This window comes from Homo sapiens, chromosome 21 (genome assembly GCF_000001405.40).
Source record: "Homo sapiens chromosome 21, GRCh38.p14 Primary Assembly".
Taxonomy (NCBI): Eukaryota; Metazoa; Chordata; class Mammalia; order Primates; family Hominidae; genus Homo; species Homo sapiens.
Genome location: NC_000021.9, coordinates 39,630,051 through 39,652,364, shown reverse-complemented (window position 1 = coordinate 39,652,364; position 22,314 = coordinate 39,630,051). Strand labels below are relative to the sequence as shown.

General features: G+C 46.3%; 1 protein-coding gene across 4 annotated transcripts in view, besides 5 other annotated features; it reads right to left on the bottom strand.

Moving 5' to 3' along the window:
• Window positions 1-22,314, bottom strand: part of B3GALT5 (beta-1,3-galactosyltransferase 5) — a 60,198-nt gene that overhangs the window by 20,773 nt on the left and 17,111 nt on the right. The window contains exons 1-2 of one of the 4 annotated variants that reach the window (NM_001356338.2): window positions 9,889-9,969; window positions 5,743-5,973 (exon numbers count right to left, since the gene is read on the bottom strand). The exons of 1 other annotated variant lie outside the window; for it this stretch is intronic. The gene's annotated coding sequence lies outside the window, so the exon portion shown is untranslated. Of the gene's footprint in view, window positions 1-5,742; window positions 5,974-9,888; window positions 9,970-22,314 lie in introns of those variants that run through there. 2 more of the 4 variants (NM_001356336.2, NM_001356339.2) reach the window with 2 other exon arrangements.
• Window positions 2,990-3,536: an enhancer, noted in NCBI's record as "H3K27ac-H3K4me1 hESC enhancer chr21:41020756-41021302 (GRCh37/hg19 assembly coordinates)". NCBI's record gives its function as "activates a minimal SCP1, AML or CMV promoter by ChIP-STARR-seq in naive H9 embryonic stem cells {active_cell/tissue: H9 hESC(naive)}" and the evidence as "EXISTENCE:reporter gene assay evidence [ECO:0000049][PMID:30033119]".
• Window positions 8,625-9,125: an enhancer, noted in NCBI's record as "H3K4me1 hESC enhancer chr21:41015167-41015667 (GRCh37/hg19 assembly coordinates)". NCBI's record gives its function as "activates a minimal SCP1, AML or CMV promoter by ChIP-STARR-seq in naive H9 embryonic stem cells {active_cell/tissue: H9 hESC(naive)}" and the evidence as "EXISTENCE:reporter gene assay evidence [ECO:0000049][PMID:30033119]".
• Window positions 11,574-12,073: an enhancer, noted in NCBI's record as "H3K27ac hESC enhancer chr21:41012219-41012718 (GRCh37/hg19 assembly coordinates)". NCBI's record gives its function as "activates a minimal SCP1, AML or CMV promoter by ChIP-STARR-seq in naive H9 embryonic stem cells {active_cell/tissue: H9 hESC(naive)}" and the evidence as "EXISTENCE:reporter gene assay evidence [ECO:0000049][PMID:30033119]".
• Window positions 12,074-12,575: an enhancer, noted in NCBI's record as "H3K27ac hESC enhancer chr21:41011717-41012218 (GRCh37/hg19 assembly coordinates)". NCBI's record gives its function as "activates a minimal SCP1, AML or CMV promoter by ChIP-STARR-seq in naive H9 embryonic stem cells {active_cell/tissue: H9 hESC(naive)}" and the evidence as "EXISTENCE:reporter gene assay evidence [ECO:0000049][PMID:30033119]".
• Window positions 17,974-19,173: an enhancer, noted in NCBI's record as "CDK7 strongly-dependent group 2 enhancer chr21:41005119-41006318 (GRCh37/hg19 assembly coordinates)". NCBI's record gives its function as "activates an origin of replication core promoter dependent on BRD2, BRD4, P300/CBP, MED14 and CDK7 cofactors, with strong dependence on CDK7, by STARR-seq in HCT116 cells {active_cell/tissue: HCT116}" and the evidence as "EXISTENCE:reporter gene assay evidence [ECO:0000049][PMID:35650434]".

The window sequence follows — 22,314 nt, the reverse complement described above, 5'->3', positions numbered from 1 at the left end:
ACTCAGTTTTGCCTTCAAGGTCTACCTTGCCAGAGGCGTTCTGCCCACCACCCATCCAGTTATATGACAAACAGGGTGTACACTTTCCATAGCCTGACTTGAACCCCAGGGAGAGTGGGAAGTGTGGTCGAAGGTGCTGAGTGCCTCAATCCTGGCTCACCACTCACATCCAGGTCATACCTACTGAGAGCCCGCTGGCACCTGCAGTGAGAACCCAGCTTGGGGGGGCACCTGCTGCTACAAGGACAATGACCTTCTCTTGGAGCTCCAGGGGGAGGAACAGAATTGGACCTCACAGGGTTCACTATGGGAAGTAGGCTCTTTCCAGAGCCAGTTAAGGAGCCACAAGCACCCCCCACAACAAACATCCTTACATCATGGGTCCTTTCAACACAGTCGGGTGAAGCCTGTGAACTCCTCTGAATAACGTTTTTACATGTATAATACAAAACATACAGAATCACAGGGGAAATCAATTATGTTGAAATAAATGGATCAAAATATTTTTAAAAGTGAGCCAGAATAATATACACACTTCCTCATCGCCTCATTTAACAATGATTTCCAGCTCTAGATCTGATAAAAAAAACTGCCTTAACTTTGCAGGCAGGACTAGCTTCGCCGGTATTTGGAGATGTCCACTGCTACTACGGTGCGATGTGAAAATAAGTGATTTCTTTTGGTGACAAAGTCACAAGTTCTACTACTGTGGGTGAGGGCCTCCTCCCAAAAAACTCCCATGTTAAAGTCCTCACCACCAATACCTCAGAATGTGACCTTATTTGGAGACAGGCTCCACATTAAGTTTCAGTGAGGTCATTGGGGGATCCCTAACCCATATGATGGGTATTTCTCCAGGGAAATTTGGACACAGACTCACAAACAGAGAAAACACAGTGTGAAGAGGAAGGCAGGGCTCAAGGCTTTGTGTCTCCCAGCCAAGGAATGCCAAAGGCAGCCAGCCACTCCCAGAGCCTGCGGGAGGGCCTGGAGTAGATTCTCCCTGACAGCCTCAGAAGAACCAACCCCAGTGACACTCTGGTCTCAGACTTCCAGCCTCCAGAGCCCTGAGACAGCAAATGTCTGTGTTTTAAGCCACCCAGTTTGAGGCGCTTTGTTACCACAGCCGCAGGGAACTAAGACAGTGCCTATATTCATAAAGAAAGGAAGGGCTCAATTTCAGTTAGAGGTTCCTGAAAATAAGGATGTCATGTTTTGGGGTGCTCAGGGTCTTCTTCCACCAAGGGTGAATAGTGGTGGACAGGCTCACATAGCGAGGACTCCTGAGCTGAGTGACCGTCACACTTCAAAACCACGATGGCACCGATTCAGGGGAAGACATCACGGTGACCTCATTCCCAGCCACTCTAGAAGAAGGTTTTTTTTTTCTTTATGGTTGTTTTATCTGACCTTGTCTTCTGGCTGGACCACGGCTGAGTGAGGGTGTTGGCGCTGGGGTGGAAGAAGTGGGACATGGTGAGCTGCTCATTTTTACCTTTTTTTTTTTGTAAAATACATTTTTTAATCTTATTTTAAAAATGGTGATAGTAGCTGACAATTTTTTAATTTTTTTCTACTAAGCAAAACAAACTGTCAAGTCTATTTCAACGGCTCCCCCATCTAAATGATGTTTGAATCATCTCTCCAGTATCCTGTGGACGTTCCACCAGAGCCACAGGAGAGCACCCCGGCTCAGCTGGGACCCTTGCTGGTCACCAACGAGCCAGGCGCTGGCATCTGCACGCAGGTATGAACGGGGTGCTTGTGGCGTCCCCTTGGTTGAAAGGGAATTTCAAGCGTCCCCACCCAGGGAGGAATGGTTTCTTTCTCAGCCTTTCCCATCTGCTTGTGGCAGCTCAACCAAGAACTGTGGACAAAAGTCTCACTCATCATCCCCTTTCAAGCTCACAGATGCTGCTGCTGCTGTGGCCACAGGAAGCTCCGTGAGGTATTGCCCTGGCCACACAGCCTCAGGAGCAGCCTGTGCCCGCCTTTTGCAGCTGACCAGTGAAGGCAGGAACACGCCCTGTTGGAAGGGCTCTCGTGTCACCTGCAGCTGTCACCTACAAATAAGGTCACATTCTGAGGCAGGACTTTAACAAAGGAATTTTTGAGGAGGGGGCCCTGACCCACAGGAGTAGAACTTGTGACTTGGCTACCAAGAGAAATCACCTGTATTTATTTTATTTTGTCTCTCAGTGGAGAAGCAGAGCCCTGCACCTTCATCCCAGGCCCTTCCACTGCCTCGGGAAGCCTCTTCTGATCACCTCCCCTGGGGCAGGCAGGGGTCCAGGTGCTGGGGGTTCCACGACAAAGACGACAAATCTTTGCGGGGTTCAGGATTCACAGCATGAGCCAAGCAGTAACTGGGATCTGACACAGCAGGGTGGTGCGTGAGGTCTGGCAGAGACTCCAGTTGGGTGCCTCTGGATCCTCATCCCAACCAGGCCTCCACCTTTACATTTCCATGTCTGTCTCTGCACTGCCCAGTTTTAGCAAGAATCCTGCAAAGTTGGTTTTGCCAGGATCCCACACCATCACTATCTGATCAGTTCCTTGTCTTCTACCCTCAGTGTCTGGCCACCTTGGACTCTGCCTCCAGATCCCCAACGTCACTATCTGATCGGTTCCTCGTCCCCCACCCTTGATGTCTGGTCACCCTGGTCTGCCTCCAGCAAGGTGGGTTTAGCCAGAATCCCCCTCGCCCCTGGGGTCTCCTCTTAGTAACTTTCCACCCACTGAGCCTTCCACCCTGTTTCTGGGCTGCACCTCCCCACTTGTCCATGCTGTATTCAGAATTAAGCCCGGCTCTATACTGAGGTCTCTTTCCCCTACTGCAATAGTTCCTGAATAGAAACTGTCTTCACCTCCTACCTCCAGCTCTGGCTTTTCTTTAACGGGGCAGGGGAGAGAACAGAGGTCCTGCCTGTGGATATTCAGGGAGACCTGGCCAGGGAGGCTGGCAGGCAGAGGCAGGGAATCCGGAAGGGCCTGTGGGTTCCAGAAACAGCACGGTGTGCAGAGGGAAAGCTGAGAAAGGAGGCTGGAGGCAGGCAGGGCAGCTCAGAATGGCCTAGAGGAGCAAATGAGCAGTCTGGGCTCTGGCCAAGCACATCAGGGGGCCCATGGTCCTTCTCAGGGTTTTACGGGCCCATGAGTCTAGAGTCCAGCAGGGCCTCTCTGTCCCATTCATCAATACAACAGAGAAGCCTCCAATCAATCAAGTGACTGGGGAGAAAAGCCACAGGGATTTGTACACATGATCACTGGTCTCAGGACTGATGAATTTAGAGCTGGAAGGCATTTTAAGGATTGTCTTAGTCACCTCGGGCAGCCACGACAAAATGCCACACACTGGGTGGCTTAAAGATCAGAAATGTCTTTTCTCATGGTACTGGAGACAGGAGTCTAAGATCAGGGTCCCAGCACAGCCGGGTTCTGGCGAGGGCCTCCTCCTGGCTTGCAGATGGTCGGCTTCCTGTTGTGTCCCCACAACGGCAGAGACAGCCCTGGTGCCTCTTTCTACAGGGACGCTCATCTCATCACGAGCGCTCCACCCTCGGGACCTCACTGAACCTACTCAGCTCCCAATGTCCTCCTCTCCAATCACCATCCCTTTGGGGGTGAGGCCTTCAACACAGGAATTGTAAGGAGACACAATTCAGTCCATAGCAAAGATCATCTCCCAGCGTTTATTGAGCACCTGCTGTATACAGCATGGCACTGGTCATGGGGAGTGGCCATGGGGGTCTCCTCAGATTTCCCTCAACTGCATGGAGGGCCAAACTTGTCCCCCAGAATGCACAACCAGAGGGAAGTGCTGCTCTCTTCCAACCTATCCACTGTGCTTCATGCTAGGAAGCATCACTTAACCCCCTAGACTCTTATTCTCTCCTAAACATAGAGAAGACGACCTCACCTGGCCTTGGGACTCAGACTCAGGACAGTGAGAAAGAGAAGGTGCACATGCTAGGAGGGTCTGGCCCCCATTCAGGCTCTGTCCTGTCCCCTCCCCTCACTCTACAATCTACCGCCTGCTGAAGCTCTATTTTTTTTTTAACTTAAGTACCTTTACTTGCAGCTCCAAATCTCTAAGCAGCCAAAAGCACAGTCAATATTTTTATAACCCAATTCTTTTAAATCTGATGCATTCTTTTCTGATTAATAACCCAAATAACACTGAATGATTTTATTTGAACAATTTCGTCCACAGTGTCAAATATGTTGTCTATAGATTCAGGAAGGCCAATCTACAATGGACTTTTTTTTAAAAAGTAAGATTTGATTACACAATAAGCTAAGAATCAAAGCAATGAGGTCTTTCTTCTGACCCAAAACTAAACTAAACAAATTAATACCATAGCAAAAGAGGATCATCAGAACATCATTAATAGGGCTGCCAATTATTCTGTGCAACCAACCACATTAGAAAATTCCGAAAATTTTGTAAAAGCTTTTTAACTGTCTACATCTAGTGAGATAACAGGAGGATGGTATCTTTAACCCCATATAAAACACCTTGAAAACAAAGACAAGTGCTTTCTCCCAAAGAACATCTTCTCCCAGATTATTCTGGAAGCTTGTTGCCCTAATGGTAAAGCCATAGACTCTAGGCTGCTTGAGTAAGGTCTCCATGAAGAATTTGACAGTGATAGGAATTCAGCATGCAAACCACAGACAAAGGGTTGGGGAAGGAAGAGGAAGACTTTAAACAAGGGGCCGGACATGGTGACTCACGCCCATAATCCCAGCACTTGGGAGGCTGAAGTCAGTGGATCGCTTGAGCTCAGGAGTTAAAGACCAGCGTGGACCAGCGTGGCCAGCAAGGTGAAACCCTGTCTCTACAAAAAATACAAAAATTCCCCGGGCATGGTGGCACACACCTGTAATCCCAGCCACTCAGGAGACTGAGGCCCGAGAACCAAAAACTTAATTAATTAATTAAAACAAGGGAGTATGATCATTCTAGAAACTGGCCTGCTGGATTTCAATTTATATGAGGCACCCTAAACCACAGGCAATGGAAGCAATTTCCAGCGCTCAGATTTAATTGTGCTACACGAAGCCATCTTAACTCTACAAGGCTTGAGAATTTGTTCTTGACAAACAAGTTTGGCCGTCCTCAAGGTGAGAACCAAAGACTCCTTCAGTTGGCTGGCAATGTCCTGTTGTTCCAAGGGACTTCCTCTGCCTCTCGGCCATCAGGACATCCTTGTTCCCTTTCAGCTGTGTGGAGTTTTTGGTTTTTTTTGTTTTGCTTTTTTGAGACAGGGTCTCACTCTGTCACCCAGGCTGGAGTGCGGAGGCGCCATCTTGGTTCACTGCCACCTCCACCTCCCAGGGTTAAGCGATCCTCCTGTCTCAGCCTCCCAAGTAGCTGGGACTACAGGCATGCACCACCACACCCAGGGAATTTTTGTATTTTTTCTAGAGATGGGGTTTTGCTATATTACCCAGGCTGGTCTCGAACTTCTGAGTTCAAGGGATCCACCTACCTCCGTCTCCCAAAGTGCTGAAAATAGAGCCATGAGCCACTGCACCCAACCCCCTTTCAGTTCTTGACCCTCCTGCTCTTTCCCAGTTTTGCTTTCCTCTTTCTCTCTCTGCTCAGCTAACTCTTCCTTACCTTTAATCCTCATTTCCTTATTCACTACTCACAGCACCCCATTTTGTACTGTATCACTTTAATTATTGGGATTGTATTTTATTAATTCTTGGTACAAACCTTGGAATACCACCCACCTTTCTTACTAGCCAATAACTCCAGAAGGTCAGCAGGCACCATTTTCTGTATCTTTCATCATTCTGGACAGGATGTGGCACTCAGAAGCCCAGTGGAGACTTTCGAATGAACAAATGAGAAATGAAGCTGCTCATGTCTCCAAAAGCCAAATTATGTTTCTTTGTGACTTGGATACATTTTCTTACTTGAACACAAATGCTTGGTTTCAATGGCCTCTCTTCCAGATGAAACTGTTGTATGAAAAATTTAAGAGCGTTAGGTAATTTTGCTTACGTACACTGCAAAAGACTTCAATTATTCCTCAGAAGAAAGAGAATCTGGCTTATTCAATGGAGGAAGAAGTAACATCAAGAGTTTCACCCGTGCTGTTCATACAGAGGAGGCCGGTGGGTGATTACAGCCAAAGGCAACTCCTCAGGAGTGTTGAGAAGCAGTAGTCCGGGGCACCAGCTTCCGGGCAAAGCTGCAGAGGCAGCCTGCCACCTTTCCACACCAGCAGGAGACCTTCGGTCGCACCACGCATTCTCTGTTCTCGATCTTGAAAATGGAATTTTAAAAAGCATGTAGAATCAATAAAAGAGATGTTTTCATAAGCACTTTACTCCAGCCGTGCAAGGGGAGAGAATAAATGCATCCGAGATATCCCACCTGTGCTGGGAGGCAGAGGGCGGCTGCGGGATCAGTGTCCGAGCCTAACATTTCACTGAGAACAGGTTTTAATGTGGGGACCTTTGTTTAACAGAGTAAAAACTATTATACTAACAAAGCGATCTGCCCCGGGTCGGGACAGTTTGGCTAACAGGGATGCTGACAGTGAATTATTCTCCCCTTTTGACCACTGCCTGCCCTTGGGGTGTGGTGTTTCTCAAAGGTTGTCCCAACTGGAACAGGGACAACAGGTCTCTATTCCAAGTCCAGTATGACTCCCCCCAATTTGCCTCTTAGCCAGCAGAGACTCTGGCAGGAGCTAGTCCAGGAGGTGCTGCTGGTCTCCAGCACCTCAGTGTGTCCAAGCCACCTCACACAGATGTGAAATGGGGAGACACCACGTGGTGTCAGCCACAGAGAGGCTCCACACACACCAAACCACTGCTGGGGCAGTCCCCACTGGTTATTTTCCAGATGTGAGGAAACCAACGCATCCATCATGAACCCCTACCTCCTGCTGGGAAAATTCTGATAAGGAAGAACTTAAGAAAAAGAAGCCATCTCTGGCTGAGTCCACCAGGATAGGAGAATTTCCTGCCTCCCTCCAAAGGCAAAGAAAAGCTTGCACACTCAGGGCGAGACCTGAGGGTCAGATTCCCAGAAAAGGAGAAAAGAAAACAAAAACATCAGCTGAGAAAGTTGTCTCTGATCCTGGACCAAACCTCATGGTAGGAAGAGGGCAACTGTGCCTTTATATGCCCGCTGCCTGTGGTTACCAAGTAAGACTCCGGGAACGGTCAGGAAAGTGTGATTTTGGACACAATAGGGATGTCAGCAGCAGGGTGAGTAGATACAGGCCAGCAGAGAAATACGTGGTGTCTTCCAGCCATGACTTAGGGAGCACGTTGCTAACCAGGTCATGCCTGACGCCTCCATTCCCTGGGGCTCATGCTCTTGATTATGACTGCATCATAATTTGGGCCAATCATCTGACAACACAACCCACCCCTGGCAGTATAAGAAGAGTGAGAAGAAAGGGGGGTGAGCCAGTCAACACACATCCATCCCCCCAAGACAGTCAGTGCAGCATGGTGGGGAGGTAGAAGCCTGTGACCCTGGGGAGGCCAGTGCTGGGGTCTTCCAGTCACTCCTGGATAATCTTAGCAAATCATTTTTTCTCTCCCAACCCAAGCTCTCATTTTTAAAAGGTCACAATGCCCAATCTGAAGGTTGATGTGAGAATTAAATGAAAGCATTCATGGCACACAGTAGGAGTTTAATAAATACTAGCTCCCTTTCCCTCCTTGTGCATAACAAGAACACAAGACATTCCTTCACTCTCTCTAGGGATACACGCCATCGTTTCGAAGGTCAGACAATGGTTCTGTAAGCCGCTGAAGCTGTACCTTCTCTATGTTTCCCATCACTGTGAACTTCGCACTTTTTGCAATGGAACTGTGAGAGGAAAATAAATCTTGGGACCCCAGACTCACTAAGCCAAAGGGAAGAGTGAAGCTGGCAGCTGGGTCATGCAAGCCTGCCTCCCATTTGGGTTCCTAAATAAAATGGCGACAAAGATGAAAAGCTACATACCTCCCTCATATTTTGCCCACAAGGAAACTCCTTGTGAGTCCCAAGCTTTTTACCCTACAGCATTTCTGTTAAAGTTCAACATGGTAATGTAAACAAATACCTTATCTTCACAGGTGTTGGGGACGTAGGACAGAACTCAAAGTCGTTTCTCTGCCTACCTGAAACAAATGCATATCTGATTGTTTCCTCTGCCCTACTGTCTACGTTACCTTATGTACAAATGCAGATTCACCGAGCCAGACAAAGGCATGAATGACCATTTACCCACCTCTCACATGAAAATTGCCTATTTCTTAATATCCTGCCCTTTCCCCTGTAAATACTAAAGACCTCAAAATCATCTTAGGAGAAAGGCATAGACCTGTCTCCCAGGCGCCCATCCTTAACTTTAGCAAGTAAACCTCCTGAAATGATTGAGACTTTCTTTGGTCATTTTCCTTGATTGACAGAACTATCAGTGTCAATCACTTCCACAAGAACGCAAGATTTTACTACAAAATAAGCCACAGAGGGGAGCAGGCAAAACTCATACTCCCCCTGCACACCAGCCTCGAGGAGCTGCGGGAAGGTAGGGAGAGAAGGCATGATCTCCTCTTGCCAAATGCTAAGCACCTTTCCCTCATCAAGGAGCATCTCTCCCCCCTCTTTAAGCACACATAATAAAAAGCTTTAAAAATTTCAGCTGTCTCCTAGCAATCTGTGGCATGCTTCAAAACTTGGGAAGGAAGATGCTGACAGAGCAGAGAATGTGGGTACACTTCTTTTCAAACAATAACCCACAAATGAAAGAGGAAACGCAAATTCAACCAGAAGAAAAAGCTCAATTGTTCTCCTGTCCGCCTGTCACCTACATAAAACAGCTGCGAAAGCAGAGGCAGGCAAGGCAGCTGTTGCTGCCAGGAGAGCTAATGCTAAGGCTTTTCACACAGGCTTTGCTTTTCTTTTTCTTTTTTTTTTTTTTTTGAGCTAGAGTCTCGCTCTGTTGCCCAGGCTGGAGTGCAGTGGCGCAATCTTGGCTCACTGCAGCCTCCACCTCCCAGGTCCAAGTGACTCTCCTGCCTCAGCCTCCCAAGTGGCTGGGATTACAGGCGTGAGCCACTGTGCCCGGCCCAGGCTTTTATTTTCACCAACATGAAACTGCACTGATGGGCTTTTCAATCCTGCGATGCTGCCCATCTCCGTCAGCATCTCCACAAGGCCCTCGCCAATGGCCCCATTGAGTCCAGTTTAGTACTCATTCCATTTCATTCATGTAACAGACTCAAGCTACCCCTCCCCACTGTGTCTATCCCATTAGTAAAGAACATTTACAAAAATTTTTTTTTTTTTGAGACAAGTTCTCACTCTTTCGCCCAGGCTGGAGTGCAGTGCCACGATCTTGGCTCACTGCAGCCTTGACCTCTCGGGCTCAAGCAATCCTCCTGCCTCAGCCTCCCAAGTAGCTGGGATCGAAGGCACACACCACCATGCCCAGCTTTCTTTTCTTTTCTTTTTTTTTTTTTTTTTTGTGGCAATGGGAGTCTCGTTATGTTGCCCAGTCTGTTCTCTAACTCCTGGCTTCCAGCCATGATCCTGCCTCAGCCTCCCAATGTGCTGGGATTACAGGCGTGAGCCACCATGCCCAGCCAACAAAATATTTAAAATAGGCTATTTTGACTAAGACAAAATCAAAATTATCCCACTTCCTCCATATGTTAATCCATTTTAAAAAGTGAGGAAAATGTTCTTGTCTGTATTTTCTAACGTCTTCAAAAACAGCTGATCCTACAAGTACTTTCCAAAGAAAGAGACAGAGCAAACAGAAACATCCAAAAACAAACAAACAAAAAAGAAACTTGAAAATCCAGATAGGAGGTATATAAGAAGAGGAACCTCAATGTGTGTAACTCCTTAAGTTACCGTACCTCAACTGCTTTGTCTATGCAGGTCCCTGGGTCTCCAATGCCCTTCCATGCCTTCTCAGCTCAGCCATTCCTACATTCTTCAAATGAAATGTCCCATCCTCTCGGTTTCCCCAGAGCAGAGATCAGTAATTTATTACCATTTATTACTAACTTTATATATGCTTCTTTATAGCAGTCATTACACTGTAATATAAAGGACACTATTTTATGAACATCTCTGAAGCTGACCTTTGCTTTCTTCAATTAATAATTCTCGTGCCTAGCTCAGAGCCCATGAATCCAAGTGCAATGTACACTTGATGAATGAATGGACGTGATGGAAAACTAGCCAAAGGAGAAATTAATTATTTAAGCTTGAAGCTTGTAGCCTGTTATAGGGAAGATTTTCCTACGGAAAGCAACAGTTACGGAGCAAGGTACTACAGGACAGACAAGTCAAGCTGGTATGCTGTTGTAAAGAACTGGTGCCTCTTTACTTTTCATATGTAAAATGGAGATCATTAATTCTACTTGAAGCTGTGGGATTTGCTACCAAAACAGCAAAAGTCCTCTTAGTCTGGCTATCAAAGCATAGCGTTTAGAACATGAATCAAAAAAACTCCTGGACAGTTAGTTTTACATGTCTCACTTTTACCAGGGACTTATAAGCCTGAATGACATTCAGAAGAGAGAGACCAGGAGAAAGAGAGCATGTATTATATGATAGAATATATGAAGAATTATATGATGGAATATGAAGAATTTTCAATGTCACTTATAATGCTTAACATTTAGAAAACATGTCTCAGAGAAAGAAAAGACTAGAACAAGAACCAGTGGGTAGAAAATACTGAGATCAGATTCAATCGAAGACTTAACAATGGTTATGCAAACAATTAGTAAAATCTAAAGGTGGAATGAGCTATTCCAGAAAATAGTTAATTATTTACCATGAAGATATTAAAAAACGCGGTAAAGGGAATTCAAGCATTACATGGACTATAAGACTAGCTTAATTTTAAGAACTTTTTTTTCATCTAAATTCCATAATGCTAATATTCTAGTAAACAAAGTTAGAGTAAGAATTTAGGGCATCAATTTCATATCACATTTCAGCTTTTAAAATTTTTTTATTTATTTTAATGCTTTAAAGAGACATCACTGACACTTATTTTCATAAAACCAGTTTAACTGTGGAAATCCCAGGCATAAACACAGTTCTGTAGTGTCGGAAGCTAAAATACAACTGCTATGGATTTTAACTTCATGTTTTTAGTAATGTGAGATTTATCATGTTTGTAGTAGTGCATAACTCTAGCTAATATCCCGAACTTTCTTTACAAATGGCAAACTACTTTTTGGCATCTTCCAACCTTGAAATATCTGTTCTCACCACTATATTATACTGGAAGTCTTCACCATTCAACACCACAAGAAAAGGAAATAAGAATGCAGCTGGGTGCAGTGGTTCACACCTATAATCCCAGCACTCTGGGAGCCTGAAGCAGGTAGATCGCTTGAGCCCAGGAGTTCGAGACGACACCAGCCTGGGCAACATAGTGAGACTCCATCTCTACAAAAAATAGAAAAAATAGCCAGGCATGGTGGCATGTGCCCATTGTTCCAGCTACTCAGGGGGCTGAGGCAGGAGGATCGCTTGATCCCAGGAGGTCAAGGCTACAGTGAGCCATGATCATAGCACTGTACTCCAACCAGAGCAAGACTCTGTCTTGAAAAACAAACAAAAAAAGCATCCAGGTTGGAAAGGCAATATTAAAACTGTCTTCATTCTCAAAAAAAAAAAAATAGAATGGATTTCATCTTTCTTGATGGAATCCACTTTATCATCAAATAATTCATTTTTACAAGACCTCATAGTTTTGAAGTTCAGTACAGGCTGGGCAAATAATTGTTTAATTCCTTCGAAACGTGTCTGAGAACTTTTAAGGATAGGCCCAAATACTGACTGCCTTACAGGTACTCTTAAGGTGTTTTCCTATGTTGAGACACATAGATCCTGAAAAGAGCTGGACTTCTCACCCATGGGGCGAGAGCAACTGTTGACCTGGGGAAGAGGGTCTGAACCAGGGAGCATGAGGGAGAAAGGGGTCTCAGGAGCAGGGAAGGATGCAACTAGGCTCCTAAGCAGCCACTCTCTAGGGTGACAAGCCAACCAAGACAGGAGGCGCAGGGCTGGTGGGACCCTGCTTATCAACCACAAGACACCGCCCACCACCTAGAGTCATGGTCGGTGGTTCAAAGCATGTGCTCCACAGTGGGTTTGAATCAAACACAGGCAGCCTGGTTGCAAGGCTGTTTCTGCCTGTCACTAAGAGTGAGAGCTCAGGCGAGTTATTTACCTTCTCAGACCTCCGCTTTCCTCATCTATCAAATGGGAATAACACCGTTTTAAAGCCCACCCCCACCCTCTACCATGGCAGCAACTACAGGAGCTTCAGGTATCCTTGTCCACGCCAGAGGCTTGCTAATGAGCCCTCCAGGTACATTTTACAGTTATTTATTTACATTTTACAGTTACATCATTTACATTTTACAGTTATTGATTGACAGCTTGTTATTTAGCCCTTTATAGACATTCTCTTCACGTGCATGAAGAGAGGAGGCTCTAACAAGCCCTGCATCCCATAGTTTCAGATTAGCCGCTAGGAGAGCTACAGGATGCAGGGGCCAGTGACTTAGAAAATGCCAGATGCGTGCTGGGCTGGGCGCAGTGGTTCACCCCTGTAATCCCAGCGCTTTGGGAGGCCGAGGCAGGTGGATCATGAGGTCAGGAGTTCAAGACCAGCCTGACCAATATGGTGAAACCCCATCTCTACTAAAAATACAAAAATTAGCCAGGCGTGGTGGCACCCGCCTGTAATCCCAGCTACTCAGGAGGCTGAGGCAGGAGAATTGCTTGAACCCAGGAGGTGGAGGTTGCAGTGAGCAGAGATCGCGCCACTGCACTCTAGCCTGGGTGACAGAGGGAGTCTCTGTCAAAAAAAAAGAAAGAAAGAAAGAGAGAGAGAGAGAGAAAGAAAAAAAGAAAGAAAGAAAGAAAGAAAGAAAGAAAGAAAGAAAGAAAGAAAGAAAGAAAAAGAAAGAAGGAAGGAAGGAAGGAAGGAAGGAAGGAAGGAAGGAAGGAAGGAAAGAAAGAAAGAAAGAAAGAAAGAAAGAAAGAAAGAAAGAAAGAAAGAAAGAAAGAAAGAGCCAGATGCCTGAAGCTGCTTGCAAGGGAAACAGAATCACAATTCTGGAACATGTTACAACTTATCTTTCATGCTAGGCAAAGTCAGGTGACCTAAAAGAAGAGAGGTGGCACCTCACCTACAAACTCCATGGAGTATGACCTGTTCTGTTAGTTTAATAAGTGGCTTCCGTCTACATGGCAGAAATTAACGTGGACCTTCCTTTCGTGGTAATATGGGAGCGAGGCTGTGGGAAAGAGGTCCACCCAGCCCAATGTCCCATTAGCAGTTTTGTCATCTACTGTTAAGATTGAAGAGCTGTACACGGGAAACTGGCTTCAGTCAGCATGCAATCCACCTATCGCTCACTTCTCGCAAACACAATCCCTCTCCTAGTCACACACTCCACCTCTGTGTCAACATGAAACAGAAGAAGTTCCCTTGTCCTCCTCCCAGGGCGTGTGATGGGGGAGTGACTCGCTTCTTCCATGCCCCGCTGCTCAAACCTCTAGGGGAGCATAAAGACGGGCAGGCTGTGGGGCTCTGACCCCACGGCAGTGTCTAGGGGTGAATGTTTACTGCTGCGGCCCCAGTGGGCGTGTGTTCCAGGGTGTTCTTTTAGTTTAGCCATCCGTAGGCAGCTTGTGTTAGCTCAGTTAGACCCCTGCCTTATCTCAAGGACAGAGGGCTTTCTGTATCCCGGGGTTCTTGCCTTGCTGTACCTGAAGAATCAGATCACATGTGGGCTTGGAGAATGAGTGCAAGGTTTTATTGAATGGAAGAAACTCTCAGCAGATGGGGGAGCCAGGAGGGAGATGGTTTTCCCCTGGAGTCAGGCTGCTCAACGGCCTGGGCTCTCCCCCGACTGCCCTAGCCCGCCTCCGCATCCTTCTGCCAGTCGGTGGCCTGCAGCCTGCTGGTGCCTGTCAGTGCCTGTCTGTGCTTTTCTCTTGACGTCCAGCCGCCCATGTGTTCCTCCGCTGATGTGCTCCTCTCGACGTCCCGCCACCTGTGTGTCTGCCTGCTAGGGTCTTGGGGTTTTTACAGGCACAGTATGGGGGTGTGGCAGGCCAGGGTGGTCTTGGGAAATGCAACATTTGGGCAGGAAAACAAAAATGCCTGTCCTCACCTAGGTTCGTGGGCACAGGCCTAGGGATGGAGCCCTAACCAGGGACCACGCCCTTCCCCCTTCAGTATCATTTAAAGGGACCGTGCCCTTCCCTTGCCAGCACTTCTCTTCCCCTCTTCCGTATCAAACAGACATAAAAGTGAGAAATGGCCCGGTGTGGCAAGGACATTATGACAAGTGGACCCAAAAGGCAACACCCTGACCCTGACTTGCTCCAGAAAACATCCAGCCACAGAAAGCTTCCTGCTCCCCGCCCCTAACAGTAAATAATCCTTCCTCTTTCAAAATGTCCCCAAAGGGCTCACTTGCTCCCTTGCAGCCAAACCATGGACTGCCCAATGTACCCTAAGACCAATTAAGTCTCCTTGCTTCTAAAACTGACACCTTAAGAGAAGACTTGTCAAGTATTCCCTTTTGACTCTAGAAAAACCATTGTCTCTCTAGCACCTCTGAATCCTGCTGCAAGAAAAGCCACGGCAGGTGGGTTCCCTGGTGGCAAGTTAATCAATCAATGGCCTTTGTTCCTTTTGTCTCTGCAACCACAGCTGGGAGCAGTCCTGCTAGGTGTTCCCAGGAAAGAAGCCCTGGGCGGGGTAGCCATCAAGGACACTGGGACACACAGAACACAGCAGGACTGACAAACACCCAGGCAGCTGTTTCCGCATACAACAGGGAAGCAGCAAAGATTTTTCAGTTGAAAACGTCGTAAGCCTTAGCTGACTGACATGACAAGAGTTTACACAGTGGTTTCATGCCAGCAAGGGTTGGACTGGGTGTTACCTCGTACCTGATGGGCTTTGGCATGCAATGCCTGGTCTCTACCCTCCAGAGAGGGAACGCACACAGATCCTCCATCTTTAGGATTCCCTGTAATGCCCATCAGAGTGGCAATGGCCCTGCTGGGAGGAAGGGGGCTTTTCTCCTCTCATGGAGCTGCAAGTGCAGGAACAGACATCTGCCACAATGCCCCTAGAAAGGAAAAGGGAGGAACCAACAGTGCTCCTCTGTTTTAGGACTCGGAAAACGTCACAGCTTTCCAGGTAATCCTTGTGAAATTTAATTCAGAAAGTATGTGCTGGCCCCGTGTGCTCGGCCCTAATAGTAAATGTCCCAGGGGATCAAGAGGAGCACAGCACAGGTCCCCTGTTCTCAAGGGCAGGGTCCCTCCAAAAACACAGACACTAAGAGGAAGACACTTGCAAGAAACAGTCCCATGAATGAGAAAGACAACACATGGCTCAGTGTAAAAACATGGTGCCGCTGTAAAGGCTAAAAGTCATGAGAAACAGCGGATCCCTTCCACCACCACGTTCTGAGCATGCTCTGTGTGCTCTGCTCCCCAGCAGACTCTGGCAACACCAATAAAAAGAACCCCATTTGACCGCCACCAAAGCCACACAGGAGACAACCTTGATCTTCCCTCCGTATGAAGAGACTGGGTGAGGAGAGTGATCACAGGATCCTTTCCAGTCCCAGGATCCTGCAATCCTGTACAGAAGGAAGCACTGGTCAGGCCAAGGACTCGTGGAAAACAGGGAATTCGTGGGCAACAATAAGGTGTGTGCACAGCCCCTCAAGAAGATGTGCCAGTCCTTATCTAAGCCACAGGAGCCTGTCTCCTGTGAATGCCATCATCTGGGGCTGCCTTGTTGGCCAGTGTCCTCCGGATTTGGTCATTGGGAAGCAACAACAGGGGGGTTGGATTTGGTCACTGGGAAGCAACAACAAGGAAAGGCGTCGGGGTTTCTCTTCCCAGGATCCCTCCCTGGCTTCTCCTGGCTAAAGTCACATTTCTCTGCTCAGCTCCTTCCTCACAGCCCCTCCCAGCACAGCTGCAGTTCCACACCTTCTCTCCAGGCCACAGCATGGTCTCACTGTTGTGATCCTGGTTCATTCTGTTAATTTCTTGAGGAAGTTAGTATATCAATAATGGAGTGATGTCTCTATGTGTCAAGCACTGCATTAAATTCTTTACATGCATTTTCTCAATTAACTTCACAATGATTCCATGTGATACTACCATCCCTGCTCTAAAGATGAGAAACTGAGGCTTAGAGATAATGAGCAAATTGCCCGATAGTAAACATTCCAGTACTTAACTTCTGTGGTTTATGGTGGATCATGTCCACGGATGGAAATTTCAGAAACTTGTCAGTTCCACAACATAAAATGTCCTATCTTAGTTGCTGGGACAAGAGAATGCAAAAGATATAGTCCTGGCCCTAGCAAAGATTCTAATCTTGGAGTATCAAAGGGAATAAAAAAGCTATGCAGAGAAGAGGGAAAAGGAAACTAAGAGCACATGCACAGAACTGACAATTGGAGGTGAATAAACACAGATCCCAGCATTTAGCCAGTTGGTCCCAGGAGATAGGAATGTGAGGATTAACAGCACGGAAGAGGCCAGGTGCGGTGGCTCACACCTGTAATCCCAACAGTTTGGGAGGCCGAGGTGGGTGGATCACTTGAGGTCAGGAGTTCGAGACCAGCCTGACCAACATGGCAAAACCCTGTCTTTACTAAAAAAATACAAAATTAGCTGGGTGTGGTGGCACAGGCCTGTAATCCCAGCTACTTGGGAGGCTGAGGCAGAAGAATTGCTTGAACCCAGGAGGCAGAGGTTGCAGTGAGCTGAGATCGCACCATTGCACTCCAGCCTGGGCAACAAGAGCAAAACTCCATGTCAAAAAAACAAAAAAAAGAGCATGGAAGATAATCCCTATTCAGAAAGTAGTACAGACACAATAACAAACCATGGGTGTCCAGACAGGAAACTCAAACGCATCCGTGATTTGTTAATATGGCAGAAGAGACTCTCAGAAGCAGGCATCCCACCATAGGATCATCCCTTGACTCACACACCTTCACTCTCCATGGCACATCTTGCCCTCAACCTCCTATTTCCTCTAGCTGTGGGAAAAATCCACGGATTTCACCACACACAGCTACCTCCCAACACTAACAAAAGATGACCCCAAAATCTACAAACAAGCAAAAATCCAAATCCAAATATCAACACGGGTCCCGCAGGCATGCCCACTCTTGAGAGACTGCCATTGTTAATTGCAATCATTGCCATTTATCTTATGCTACCATGTCTTTTGGATGGTGGGCTTTGCGGGGGCCCTCAGTTTTGTTGCAGATGGCATGGTAGAACATTCTGATTTCACAGTGGGACATTCTTGTAAAAAGTGGGTGATTTCTGCCTTGAGATGACAAATGCTTTCTTACGCCTGCTGTTTTCCTCTCTAGGGTGATCACAGAGCTTCCTCTGGCCTGCCATTACGCGTTGTCTCTGGGAAAATGGGAAGATTCTACTGCCCCGACATGAATAGGGAATGTGCTTTGAGCTGTTTTCCTGATAGACATAGAGCAAACGTGATGACTTCTGTTCCTCGGGTTCAAGATCACCTGGCCTGGCCTGAAGCAGATTCCCACATCCAGACTCCAGGCAACACTTTGAGAACCAATATGCTTGGCCAGGATCAGAGAACCAGGCACTGATCGGGGAGGGTTAAGGCCCCCTGCAGCCCCTGCAGGGATGCAAATGCTGGCCTGCACAGCTGCCAAAAGACTCCACTTGAACCTCCGAGACTGTACAACCTAGACCGTCATTTATAGATGTGAGCGACCCGCAGTAAAAGAGTAGACATATGAAGAGAACTGGCAACCAGAAGGAAGAATTGGGCAGAGTGAGCCAACCAGCACAACAAACGATGGCCACAAAAGTGGACTGAATGCCAGAAACGAGAGGTGTGGCAGACAGTGATTTTCCCCACCCACCTCACCAGCTCCCAACGTTTTCCCACCTCTGAAGTCGGATCGGGACATGGGAGCAGTTCTGACAAGTGGGCTGTGAGAGGCCATTTCCCTCCCACCCTATTCTGGAAAAACACACACCCCATTCCTTCCCCACCATCCTCCATTTCTGACCTTCCTCTACTTCTTGGGGAAGGAACTGAGTGTAATTTTTTCAAATTCTGCATCATGACCCATTAGTGCATCACCAAGTCAATTTAATAAGACCCGACGTTGAAAAGAAAACAGAATTGGGTAGAATAAAATATTAGAAGGCATGGGGAATGGTCAAGGCAAGTACTGTTTGGTGGGTCATATGTGTGTACTGAGTCATGAGGTAAAAGGAATTTACTGTGGTTCCAAAGAGCTTAAAAGCCACTGACTCAGAAGGAGAGCTGTGTAGTCAGTCATGCACAAATATTACAGACGCCAACACCCAATGCTTAGAGCTCCATCATTTACCCCATCCTTGCCATTTGACTTTAATCAGCTTTCTTAAACCACTAAGCCTCCGTTTCTTCAAACAGAAAATAAGTTACTCAATAATGAAGCCCAGGACTGTCCGGAGGGCAAAATAAACCAAATATATATGAAAGCAATTTTCACAATAGAAAGAACTTTGCCAATGTTAATAGCTGTCACCTTAAATCCATGCCTTTGCACAATCTGAACATTGGTTCTAGAATTAAAAGCTTCATTCTCTGTGGAAGGAATTTCAAGCACTGTTAGAAGGAGAAACCTGAGCCACTGAAAAGCTCTGGATTCATCCATGGGGATACAAGGGTTTCTGGTAAGTTTACAAAGAAAGAGTTTAGGAGATGTCTTTGTAGTCAGTGCTCTTAAGAAAGCAAATTATAATATCGCCCCTTAGAAACCCATTTCACAGTGGCCATTCATGTATAAGTATTGTGCCGGTTACAAATATTCTCACCCAGATGGTGGTTCAGGACTTGTCAAAGTGCCTCCATAGCACTATTCTGTTAACCATCTTGTACATCCAGGTGTCATATAAGCAAAGAACCAAGGAAATGAATGTCATTACAAAAAATAACCATTTCACTGAGTTAAACTGACTCTTCCCTTTGAACTCAGAAACACCTCATCACAGTGGTGATGAGTCACCCCTAGTTTTATGATTTCCTTGTTACCAAGGGATTGCAGTATAAGACCAGGGGTCCACAGAAACCTTTGTGGCCCTCATGCATTGGATGAAACTACCTGTCTACATCCTCTTCCCCCTCTAGAAGAACCACAGCCACCATTTCCCTGCCCCCAGATCTAAATCACTTAGCCTTCTATTAGAAGAGTGCAATCATCATTTTCCAATGGAAATCTTCAGGTCAGGAAAAAATTAGCATGAGAATGATGAGATATTGCAACTGCCTGACTACAGCCCCAGGACTCACAGGAACCCCAGGACCTACCTAGCTCAGTGGGAAAGAAGTAGGAAGAGATACACAAAGGTTTGTTGAATAAATCATCTGAAACATATAAACTGGATAGAGTGCATAACCATAAAACAAAGGCCACTTTCTCCCTGCATCCCCGGGCTCCATCCCTCTTGGCTCATTCCTTCCTCTCAAGGAGCACCCACATTTATACCCCCATCCCTACCACCAGAATGATCCTAGGGGATTTTCAAGCCACTCTAGTAGGAAATGTCCACATTCCAACATCCAGGCTTCCAGCCTGGTGAGACGGTGACTGCCTTCTTCACCAGGTCCAATGGATGAAGTTCCAATGCATATTAATAATGAGGGATGCAAATGGTATTGATTTTTCTGTTAAAATGGGGGCCATTTCCTTTGTAAATTTCTACTTTGTTAACACAAAATAAAATTTCATCCCCAAAAAACATTCAACAGACCCTACCTCAATTACGTGGCGTCTCCTTGTCAGCCTCTTATTTTCTTTCCCTTCCAAATCAAGCTTCTGCAACAGACAGCCTGTACTCACCACTCGCACCACTTCATCCATCACGTAATTAACCTCAACCCACTGTACTCCGGCCTCCATTCCCACTGCTTATCTGAACATACCAAAGGTCACCAATAGCCTACTTGGGGCCAGAAAATAGTTAACACAGGAATATTTGTATTCCTTTCCCCAGTCTCCCAAAAGTGCTTTTACCAGCTTGTTCCTTCTGCAGAATCACCATAAAGGGTAAGGGAAGACTTGGGAAATGCTGGAAAAGACAGACAGTTACTAGTAGAATAGAACAGAATGGACATGGAAAATAAGAGCTACCTGACAGCCCAGCTCCATGCCAGCCACCAGGCTGTCAGGCAGAACTTCTCAAAACCACAAGTCCAATAGTTCCGCTCCGACACTTGAAACTTCACAGTGGCAATCCATCACCTCCCAGTGGACACTACACTCCCATATGAGATGGCTTAAAGTCCTGCGAACACACCCTTTCGTGTCAGACCTCCACGCTGTGCTTTCTGTCCAGACTGCCCTGGAGCTCCTCTTAATGCTTTCATATGCAGCCCAAATGTAGCCCCCTCAGTGACATTTCCCTGACATCTCCCCTAAAAAGTAGGCTTCACCAGCATCCCCTTTCTTGGTACCAGCACTATTCCTCGTGCATACCTTCATATAGCTCTGCCGTATTCTAGTTATTAATTTATGTCTCTCTACTTCTTTACTGAAAGTGACTTGGATACAGGAAAATATTTAAGCGTATCTGTTTAAATCTCAATACCTCATGCATGTCACATCATAGATGCTCAATAAACATTTACTTCCTAAATAAATATCAGCTTCCTAAAGTGAGTTAATAGATCTTTACTGTTATGGGTTGATTTATGTTCCCCTAAAATTCATGTGCTGAAGTCCTAACCCCAATTACCTCAGAATGTGACCTTATTTGGAAATAGGATCTTTGCAGATACAATTCAGTAAGAAGAGGTCATACTGAAGTAGGCTGGGCCCCTAATACAATATCCCTGCTGTCCTTATAATTAGGGGAAATTTGGACACAGACAGGCACACACAGAGAACACCAAGTAACGATGAAGGCGGAGATGAGGGAGATGCTCCACAGGCCACAGAACATCAAATATTGCCATTAACCAGCAGAAACCTGGAGAGATGCACCTAACAGATTCTCCTTCAGCGCCCTCAGAAGAACCCACCCTGCTGAGACCTTCATTTCAGACTTCAGCCTCCAGAACTGTGAGATCATAAGTTTTTGTTATTTAAGGCTTTCAGTTTGTGCTACTTTGCTATGCCAGCCCAAGCAAACTAATACATTTACTACATGAAAACAATTACTTAACACAGCTAATACCTGAATATTTGCAATGTGCCTTCTATGTACTTTGCTAAGCAGCAAATGCAATAATAGCAACATTAGATGGCACTGTGCCCCAAGAACATTTCATTCATTCTATCCATGCGTGCTTCCTCTCCTCTCCAGGAATATTTTGAAAGGAAAATTTTTTTTCCATATAATTTTTCCCCCAATCGATTTTTATTTCTGTCTGGCAAACACTCTTAAAGCAGAGACACTTATCAGAGGAGAGAAATGATGGGATGAAAGGCCTGAAGGCTGCTGGGGAAACATCGCCACTGAGCTGAGCCCTGCCCCACCCTCTAGTATTCCTGCCTCACCTTACCTCCCCATGGCCTTCTCTCTTCTGGTCACCACTCTCAGCAATCCCAGCTTTTCAGTGAATGCATGGAAACTACCTTCACTGAAACCAAATGAGTTTAGCTCCACTCAATTTAATGTGAAAGAAAACGCTGACATGCAAACACCATCCCAGAGTCAAGTGCAAGCCATCCCCTTGTGTATTTCACCATTTCTCACTTGAAAGCATAAACCCAGCACAGATGCTATGGGTTGATGGAGGAAGCCGGCAATATGTGAAAGAGATATTGCACTCACCCAAGTCACTGATTCCCAAGCAGTTCCGAGTGAGTCACTGTAATGGGCATGGCGGAAGAGTGTGGCCACGAGTGTCAAAGGGGGTATTGAGAGACCTAAGACTCTGACGCTTGGAAAACCCCCCTCCAACATTTGGGTTTCTTGCAGAATCTGCTTCCAGCTTCACTCACATTCACTTCACTCCAAATCTAGCTGCCAATACATCGCGTTTACTAAAGATAACTTTGGCAGGAAAACCACAGATTTTAACGTGAAGTGATTCACAGCTAAAATATGACACTTTTTTAAAGCTCATTAAGATTGTTAAACATTGATGGGTTTGTTGGAGAGGTCTCCTGTTCCATTTAAAACATGTCAGTTTTTTCACAGGTATCTGGCTTTGAGTGTTGGTTGTTAGAGAATACGCTAGGACCGTTTTCCCACAAAAACCAAAACTAGTC